This window comes from Homo sapiens, chromosome 6, assembly GCF_000001405.40.
Source record: "Homo sapiens chromosome 6, GRCh38.p14 Primary Assembly".
In the NCBI taxonomy this organism is placed as follows: Eukaryota; Metazoa; Chordata; class Mammalia; order Primates; family Hominidae; genus Homo; species Homo sapiens.
The window spans coordinates 37,741,779-37,751,714 of record NC_000006.12 but is presented as its reverse complement, the minus strand read 5'-3'; the positions used below and the strand labels follow the sequence as shown (position 1 = coordinate 37,751,714).

Below are 9,936 nucleotides of genomic sequence, written 5' to 3'. Positions count from 1 at the left end.
ACTAGAAGTGTCAAATGTTACGGTTTCTCAGAGGCTAGGGTTTTATGAACCCCCCAGAACTGCTATTCCTTTTCCCGGTGCGGCCTTTCCCCCTCCACAGTGACAGTGGGGATGCATTAAGGCACAGACTGTGGAGTCAGATGACAAAGGGTCAGATGCTGGGCATGATGTGTTGGGCAAGTGAATTAACATTTCTGAGCCTCAGTTTTATCATCTGTGAATTAGGGCTGATGATAGTATCTGCCCCACAGAGTTGTTAAAATGTTTAAATGTGCTTATGCCCCTAAAGCGCTTAGCCCACAGGGCCTCACAGGTAGGAAATGCTCAATTCACATTAGGTATTTGAATGGCTGATGTAGGTGACTGGCCCCCCTGTGACTCACCTTTTGTGTTCCAGTTTGTCCTCACCTCTAATCTCAAGGAAGCTTCTGTCTCTGCTGGTCCTGACCAGTCTTAAGAATATTGCTTCCGGCCGGGCGCGGTGGCTCACGCCTGTAATCCCAGCACTTTGGGAGGCCGAGGCGGGTGGATCATGAGGTCAGGAGATCAAGACCATCCTGGCTAACAAGGTGAAACCCCGTCTCTACTAAAAATACAAAAAATTAGCCGGGCGCGGTGGCGGGCGCCTGTAGTCCCAGCTACTCGGGAGGCTGAGGCAGGAGAATGGCGTGAACCCGGGAAGCGGAGCTTGCAGTGAGCTGAGATTGCGCCACTGCACTCCAGCCTGGGCGACAGAGCGAGACTCCGTCTCAAAAAAAAAAAAAAAAAAAAAAAAAGAATATTGCTTCCAAAGGCTCAAAAGTTTCTCCACGTCTTTCCTTCTAGATTTGCAGTGGGCACCTTCTTAACAACAGACCTCTACTCCTGGCTCCTAAATGTCTGCAGAAATTCTCTTTCCTCTGCTGCTGCACCCCTCCTGCTGCCCAGCCTCTGGTGCCCAGCTGCACAGTGCCCTCCAGCTTCAAGTTTTTTTTGTTTGTTTGTTTTTAAGTTCTGGGATACATGTGCAGAACTTACAGGTTTATTACATAGGTATACATGTGCCATGGTGGTTTGCTATACCCATCAACCTGTCATCTAGGGTTTTTTTTTTTGTTTTTGTGTTTGTTTGTTTTGAGACAGAGTCTCGCTCTGTTCTTCAGGCTGGAGTGCAGTGGCCTGATCTCGGCTCACTGAGACCTCCGCCTCCCGGGTTCAAGCGATTCTCCTGCCCCAGCCTCCTGAGTAGCTGGGATTACAGGCACCCGCCACCACGCCTGGCTAATTTTTGTATCTTTAGTCGAGACAGGGTTTCATCATGTTGGCCAGGCTGGTCTCGAAATCCTGACCTCAGGCGATCCACCCACCTCGGTCTTCCAAAGTGCTAGGATTACAGGCGCGAGCCACCGTGCCCAGCCCCTCATCTAGGTTTTAAGCCCTGCATGCATTAGGTATTTGTCCTAATGCTCTCCCTCCCCTTCAAGTTTCTTACTGCATTTCTATGACCCACCGCCCCCAGCAGTCTTGCTCAGTCCCTCAGTCTCTGTCTCGCTATCTCTGACTCTGTCCCTGTCTTCTTTGTCTCTCATTTCCCCTCCCCATTCCCCCTTTGTTCTGTCTCCCTTAATTAGCAATACTCTGGAACAGAAGTGTTTTTATTATGTTTTATTTATTGAATGGCTTTCAGTTTCCTGTTCTTAATTTAAAAGGCAGATCAATAAGATGCTTTATATTCCTGGTTTAAAACAAAACAAAGCTAAGTTAAGTTGTTCTTTGTTCATGCGGCTCTTCTTTGCATATTTCTTTCTCTGTAGGAAGAAAAGGTTCCTCACCCACGGTCTCTTAATTGACAAAAACACTTAATTCACTCACTGGTTCATTCACTCAGTAAATTATTCAGTAAGAGCCCTAGTTGTGGGCCAGGCACTGTGCTGGACTCAGGGAGTATATTAATCTGTTTTCACGCTGCTATAAAAAACTGCCCAAGACTGGGTAGTTGACAAAGGAAAGAGATTTAATTGACTCACAGTTCAGCATGGCTGGGGAGGCCTCAGGAAACTTAAAATCATAGTGGAAGGCAAAGGGGAAGCAAGACGTCTTCTTCACAAGGTGGCAGGAAGGAGAATGAACACAGAAGGAACTACCAAACACTTATAAAACCGTCAGATCTCGTGAGAACTCACTGACTATCACGAGAACAGCATGGGGGAAACCACCTCCATGATCCAATTACCTCCACCTGGTCTCTCCCTTGACATATGAGGATTGTGGGGATTGTAATTCAAGATGAGATTTGGGTGCGGACACAAAGCCTAACCATATCAGGGGACATAGAGATAATATAAAGCAGTATTCCTGTCCTCAAGTGCTCCTATCTAGCTAGGGAAACTGATTCAGGCACCAGTACATGCCAGAAAAAGTTAGAGCTGCTATGTCAATGTTTATGGTGTTGGCTGTGGTGCAAAGGGGTGGGGAAGGCTTCCTGGGGGAGAGCAAGCTGGGCTGAGAATTCAAATGTGAATAGATGTCTTGACTTGGGTTCACCCAGAAGCAGATCCTAAAACAAGGAAATGAGTGCAAGTAGTTAATTTGGGAGGATCCCGGGGAGTACTGGCAGGGGAATGGGGAAGAGAGACCTGGAGGAAAGGGAGGAAGTCAATACAGAGTACATCAATGAGAGGTTGCCATTTCGGGCAATTGGGGCTCAGTTCCTCTGGGATCCTCTGGGAGACTGTGTAGAACACACCTTAGAGTTATCCCAACTGAGTGGTGAAGGAGTTGGGGTATTTACACTCTTGTCACCTGCCATCCATCACTGATGAGGGCTGTCTTGGGGAGGCATTAATTACCCCACACTCCTGGCCTGCTGCACAGATGGCAACATGGACTCTGGTGGCCAGAGAGAGCCTTCAAGCAAAAAAAAAAAAAATGCAGGTTGTAGCAGTTGGGAGTCAGACTAGTACGCACTGAAGCCGTAAGAATGAAGGAGTGTGGGCTGGGCACCAACATCACCTGCTATGGCAGGTGCTGGGGGAAGGGATGGGCATTCCAGACAGGTGGAAAGTGTGATCGAGGGCAAAATATGTGGTGACCCCAGGAGGCCACACATAGTTTTGTGTGGTTCCAAAATTCAAGTTCAGGAAATCTGTCTTTGTGTAGCCTGGGCCTCAGCTCCCTCATTTATAGAAAGGTGATAAAAATACTTTCCCCACTCATCCAAGATGATTTGCACAAAGCCCCCAGCTTGGACCCTGCAGAACAGAGCCCAATTCAGCCCTTTCCTTAAATTCCTCCACCTCATCTCCTGCCAGCCTGCAAGCCCTGGATATGCGAGGCTATTTATGATGCCCTGTCGATATCTGTCTTGGTGGAGGAGCGTGGAGGGGATGGATGGAGCCTGGGGTCCTATCCATCAGTCACTTGGCTGCAATCTCTAAAGAGATTTTAATTGTGAGCTCAGATTTACTCCAGTCATCAGCAGTGCCCGCCTGCCTCTTTACCAGTAGAGAGTGGGGCCTGCAGGCCCTCTGTGGTTTGCCAAATAGACGTCTTGTAGCAACGCTGAGGAAATATTTGCTGCAGTGAAACAATGTGCCTGGTGGAAAGCAATCGCCCTAAATCGCCCCCTGACAGCCCGCCAGAGCCCTACCAGAGGCTTCTTCCACTATGCGCTCAGCTTTTTCTCCAGAGTTGTGCTTCTGCTACCTACCCAGGGAAGAGGATGATGGCCTCAAACCTGAATTGGAGGGAAACTGAAGCAGGGGCAGCGTTCCCCCTCTTCTGGGCCATGTGGTAGAGGGGACAGTAGGAGAACAAGGTGGCAGGGGTGGAGAGTAGTGTGGGAGCCCTGGGTTAGAAAGACCTGGACCAGGCTGGGCGCTGTGGTTCACGCTTGTAATCCCAGCACTTTGGGAGACCAAGGCAGGCAGATCATGAGGTCAGGAGTTCGAGACCAGCCTGACCAACATAGTGAAACCCCGTCTCTACTAAAAAAAATACAAACATTAGCCAGGTGTGATGGTGCGCACCTGTAATCCCAGCTACTCAGGAGGCTGAGGCAGAAAAATCGCTTGAACCCGGGAGGCGGGGGTTGCAGTGAGACGAGATCATGCCACTGCACTCCAGCCTGGGCGACAGAGTGAGACTCCATCTCAAAAAAAAAAAAAAAAAAAAAAAAAGCAAGACCTGGACCAGGCCCATTCTGAGCAAAAGGTCCAGGGGATGTTAGCCCCTTTCACAGCTAAGAACTCCTGGGTTAAGAGAAGTGAGCCTGAGTTTGTGCAGCAAGCGATACCAGGAATCTCAGCTTTGGCCCTCTGGGTTTTTGCTTAAGGTTCTGTCTTTGGCCCCCCAGCATCCCTTTCTGAACTCTCTTTCCTATGCCTCTGCAGGGGACCAGGGCCCATTCACCATCAGGGTTTGCTTTGGGGAAATGACCTACTTCCAAAGCTTGTGCCTCTGAGTGAGTTTCAGTGGCCTCCTCTCTCAGAGGTGGCCAAAGTCTTCTCTCCACCTGTCGGGTCAAAGTGCTTATATCCTCTGGGGGAAAGGAGGATGAGGAAGAGGAGATGGAAGAGGAGGAGGAGGAGTTGGGGCAGGAGTGGAGAAGAGACACTTCCTAGACTGGGAAGTCACTCAAGGAGCTTCCTATTCTGCCTTCAAGGCAGAATGGCCTAAGTGCATATTCTCTTTAAAGCAGCAGCCTATTTTTGTAAAATTTATCCAACAGAAGCAAAACAAAATAGAACAAAACCACCAGCCCACAAGAATGGCATACTTGATATCTATTGTCACATTGCTGGTGATAGCAAAAACCCAGAAGCCTGAATGTCCATTGATAGAGGCATGGTTGAATAAGTTTTTATGGTCCAATTTTTGAATATCATGATGCTATTATAAAGGAGGTAGGTCTGCTGCAGTGGCTCATGCCTATAATCCCAGCACTTCGGGAGGCTGAGGTGGGTAGATCACTTGAGCCCAGGAGTTGGAGATGAGCCTGGGCAACATGGTGAAAACTTATCTCCACAAAAAATACAAAACATTAGCCAGGCATGGTGGCATGCACCTATGGTCCCAGCTACTTGGGAGGCTGAGGCAGGAGGATCACCTGAGCCTGGGAGGTCAAGGTTGCGATGAGGCATTATTGTGCCATTACACTTCAGCCTGGGTTACAGCGTGAGACTCTGTCAAAAAAAAAATTAATTAATTAAATTTTAAAAGGAGGCATATCTAATTGTTGACTCACAAGGCTGTACATGAAAAAATCAAGTTGCAGAGTGGTAAGTGTGTTTGGGTCCCATTAAAGAAATCTGGGCTGGGCGCGGTGGCTCAAGCCTGTAATCCCAGGACTTCGGGAGGCCGAGGCGGGCGGATCATGAGGTCAGGAGATTGAGACCATCCTGGTTAACACAGTGAAACCCCGCCTCTACTAAAAATACAAAAAATTAGCCAGGTGTGGTGTCAGGCCTGTATATGTTTGTGGATAGGTAAGGAAAAGCACAAACGTGGCGAGAGTCATATTAAGATTAGGGTCAGCTGTGAATAAAAGGAAAAAAAGACCGCCAAACAACAAATGTTTAAACAAGATAACATATTTCTTATGTATCTCTTCTTTAACCTTCTGGAGGTGAGTGGTTCGGGGCTGGTGTGGTAGTTCTACTCCAAGAAATCCTCCAGGTTCCCTCTATCCACCATGAGTGGCCTCCATTCCCAAGGTTACCTCATGGCTCAAGATGGCTGCTTCAGCTTCAGCCATCACCTTAACATTCCAGCGGGTAGGAAAGAGGAAGGCACCAACAGTATCATGTTCCTTCTTCTTAAAAGGTCACTTCCTCAAAGTCTCCTATATTATTTTTCGTTATATCTCATTTGCTAGAACTTAATTCTATAGTTACAACCTAACCACAAGCCGGGTACGGTGGCTCACATCTGTAATCCCAGCACTTTGGGAGGCAGATGTGAGCGGCCCATGAGGTCAGGAGTTCGAGGCCAGCCTGGCCAATATGGTGAAACCCCGTCTCTACTAAAAATACAAAAATTAGCTGGGCGTGGTTGTGCGCACCTGTAGTCCCAGCTACTCGGGAGGCTGAGGCAGGAGAATTGCTTGAACCCTGGAGGCAGAGGTTGCAGTGAACCGAGATAGCACCACTGCACTCCAGCCTGGCGACAGAGTGAGACTCCGTCTCAAAAAAAAAAAATAAAAATAAGAGGCTGAGGCAGGAGGATTACCTGAGTCCAAGAGTTTGAGACCAGCCTGAGCAACATAGTGAGATCCTGTCTCTAAAAAAAAAAAAAAAAAAAAAAAAAAACGAGAGAGAGAGAGAGAAGAAAAGAGTATTATTTGTATTACTTCTGAAATTTAAAAATCCCCAATAACATAGTCGTATTTTTTAATTATTTATTTTTTGCCCCATTTTAAACATATTCTTAAAAACCTCTTGCATGGCTCTTACTATTCTAGCATGAATTCTAAATCTCCTAGCCTTATACCTAAGGCCCTCTCGGATCTGTCTGGGTCATCCTTTGAGCTTCCTCCTTCCTCCCCGCAGTCTTAATGTGGACACACTGATTCCCTCACTTTTCACCATAAACTCCCTGCCTCTGTGACTTTGCGTCTGGTTCCTGTCTCTAACATGCCCTTCCTGCTCCCCACTTTGTCTTTACAAACGCCACACGAAAGTTGTTGCCCGGGAGAAATCTTCCCTCCTTGCCTGGGCAGTCCTCTGCCTGCGCCTCTACTGTCTTCAGCACTTTTTTTTTTTTAAGACAGTCTCACTCTGTCACCCAGGCTGGAGTGCAGTGGCTCGATCTCGGCTCACTGCAAGCTCCACCTCCCGGGTTCACGCCATTCTCCTGCCTCAGCCTCCCAAGTAGCTGGGACTACAGGCGCCCGCCACCACGCCTGGCTAATTTTTTTTTGTATTTTTAATAGAGACGGGGTTTCACCGTGTTAGCCAGGATGCTCTCGATCTCCTGACCTCGTGATCTGCCCTCCTTGGCCTCCCAAAGTGCCGGGATTACAGGTGTGAGCCACCGCCCCGGCCCTTCGGCACTCTTTCTGAGCACGCACTGTGCGGTCCGGTGGTTTATTTCTTCTGCATCCACTTTCCGCACTAGACCAGGGGCTCCTCCAGGACAGGGACTGCCACTCATTTGTTCCTCTCCTTGGGCACTCATGATAGCACCTGTTATATAGTAGATGTTCAATGAATCTGCCCGATGCTCTCTGCAAGCATTTGTCTCATTTGTCTTCACATCAACCTGTGAGGTCGGTATCATTATTGCCCCATTTTACAGGAGTGGGCGGCAATATTGTGCAGTGGTTATAGATGAGAGCCAGCAGCCCTGGGTTCCAGTAATAACATTTAGGTAAACTACTTAATTTGCTAAAGTCTCAGTTTCCTCACTTATCAACTGGAGTTCAGGTCAGCATGCCATAGGCGCTCAATACATGGTAGAGATTCCTAGTAGATGCCTGGGGCTGGGATCTTTCTCTTTCCCTGCACTCTTTACCCCTCTTCCAGTTGGGTAGAGTCATGTCACCCACATCCCCTGCCCAGCCCTGCGGCCAGTTCCCAGGTCATGTTAGGCCAGGCCCAGCCCATCCTCCCACCAGCCCTGATGTGGAAACTGGAGGTACGAGGGAAGAAGGAGGAGGGTGGAAGTTTGATGGCCCTTAAGTGACCTAACCCTCCGTGCATCCTCCCAGAGGGCACAGCCTATGCAGTGTCCCTGGTACTGGCTCCGGTTCCCTTCCTATTGATCAGAAGGGACAACCTACACACAGGACGTCACATCATCCTTTTGGGATGGGATGAGCACTGGGCAGAAACAGTTCTTCAGGACCCTGAAGAGAACAGGTGCCCAAAATGGGGAGAGACCTTTACCCCACAGCCCCCAGTGTCAGCTGATGTCCACCTCAGCAGCCTGCTCCACAGCCTCTGGCTGGGCAGCCCTCACCCATCCTCAGGTACCCATTCACTGGGTCTGCCACCCCAGGAAGAGAGAAATCATCCTGAACTTTGGGGAGAGGGACACCTTCAAGAAGAGTTTTCCATGCAGAGGAACTTTACTGGAGGAGGGAGATTCAGGTCTGAGTGCAGGAACCCTGTAGACCTGCTCTATAGATGTGTAACTGGACTCTATATACACAGGCTAGCAGTGGCCTCTTGGGAACCCCTTAGCTCCTCTCCAGAGTCCTGTGCAGTCAGAGGACATCAAGCCTCCCACCCCCCCTCGCATACATTGTAGGCTATGGGGAGAAAAATGGCTGTCCTCTGGCATCGGCTGTGTCCGGAATCAGCTTCTCATTCAGTGGTAACTTCTGTGCTGGGTGAAGTGGCAGTCAGCAAACTGCAACCAGGTTCTGACTTTAGTCACACACACCCCTGCCACCAAACAAACATGAGCAGAGGCATTTGGGAGACAGGACTGGGGGAATGAGCATAAAGTATTCTGGAAGGATCCCCTTTCCTCCTCTCAGGTGGACCATGGCTCTGCAGCTGGGAGTACGGAGAAAATTATCTGTTCATCTCCTCCCCTCCCCTCCCATGGTCTTTGTGGGTGAGAGAGGAGAGCCAGTGACCTGAGGCAGGTGACCCTTAACTGGGCTAACTGGGTGACTTTTGGGTTCTGTGCTTGGAAGCCCTGGCTGCCACATGTCACCCTCTTTTGTCACTTGTTTCCCAGCTTCTGAGATTGTGTCTTTTTTTTTTTTTTGAGACTGAGTCTCGCTCTGTCGCCCAGGCTGGAGTGTAGTAGTGCGATCTCGGCTCACTGCAACCTCCACCTCCCGGGTTCAAGCGATTCTTGTGCCTCAGCCTCCTGAGTAGCTGGGACTACAGGCATGCGCCACCATGCCCAGCTACTTTTTTTGTATTTTTATTAGAGACAGGGTTTCACCATGTTGGCCAGGCTGGTCTTGAAGTCCTGACCTCAGGTGATCTGCCCGCCTCGGCCTCCCAAAGTGAGCCACTGCACCCAGCTGAGATTGTGTCTTAATAGCCAAGCCGTAACTGTTCCTCCAGGGTGCCCCCTCAGATGGACGGGGGTGGTGTGGATGTAGGAACCTCGGCCTCCTCTGCCAAAAAGGGGCCTCCTGAAGGCCAGCACCTGTGTCCTCTGGCAGATGGGAAACCCAGCAAAGGCTGGGAGAGGACAGCTCCTCCTGTCACACTGGACACTAATTCCCAGAGGATGAGCCCTGCCTGCCCCAACAGACTGGACAGCCAGCTTGGCCTCAGGGGTCCCCCAGCTGGGCTGGGGTGGTTTGGGCAAGAGGAGGCAGGAAGGGGGCTCCGGCCTCTGTCCTCTGTTCACAACCAAATTGCCTCCTTCACCTTTCCCAGGTTGTGTTTACCTTGTCCTCCTCCCACTGCACTGTTCTCCCAGCCGATCTGATTGCTGTAATTAGTTAATCAGTAACTGGCATAATTTCCCCCTGATTAATGCAGGAATAATCACCCGCCAGGGCTGCCAGCAATTTGCTTATCAGAGTCACTTTGAAACAGCTTTGAAAATGAACGATTGGCACCTTCCTCGGGGTTAAAATTAGAGCCCAAGGAGGCCGCCCTCTGCTGTGGGCGTCTGGGACTGTCGGGACCAGCAGGGGAGTCCCAACCCCACTGTCGGAGCCAGGGAACACCACGGTTCCCATGTCTGGCTGGCTCCAAAAATGTTTGCTGAATGGGGAGAGGATGGATACTGTTTCTACCTACTGTGCACTGGCTACACGGGGTTCCCAGGAACACAAGGCAGACAGGTGGAGGTGCTGGGGGGTCCCTCTGGGATGAAGCCAGCAGGTAGAGACCAGGACAGGAGGCTTGTCCTGGAGCAGGAGGAAAGGGCAGTTGATAAAGGGGCAGAGTAATAGGGCCAAAAGGAGGGTCCAGCTCTAGTTAGTAATAATAATAATAGTAATAGCAAAATAGCATCATTCCCACCTTTTATGGAGTAGAG

General features: G+C 49.8%; 1 annotated feature.

Moving 5' to 3' along the window:
• Positions 913-1,734: an enhancer, noted in NCBI's record as "H3K4me1 hESC enhancer chr6:37717757-37718578 (GRCh37/hg19 assembly coordinates)". NCBI's record gives its function as "activates a minimal SCP1, AML or CMV promoter by ChIP-STARR-seq in naive and primed H9 embryonic stem cells {active_cell/tissue: H9 hESC(naive and primed)}" and the evidence as "EXISTENCE:reporter gene assay evidence [ECO:0000049][PMID:30033119]".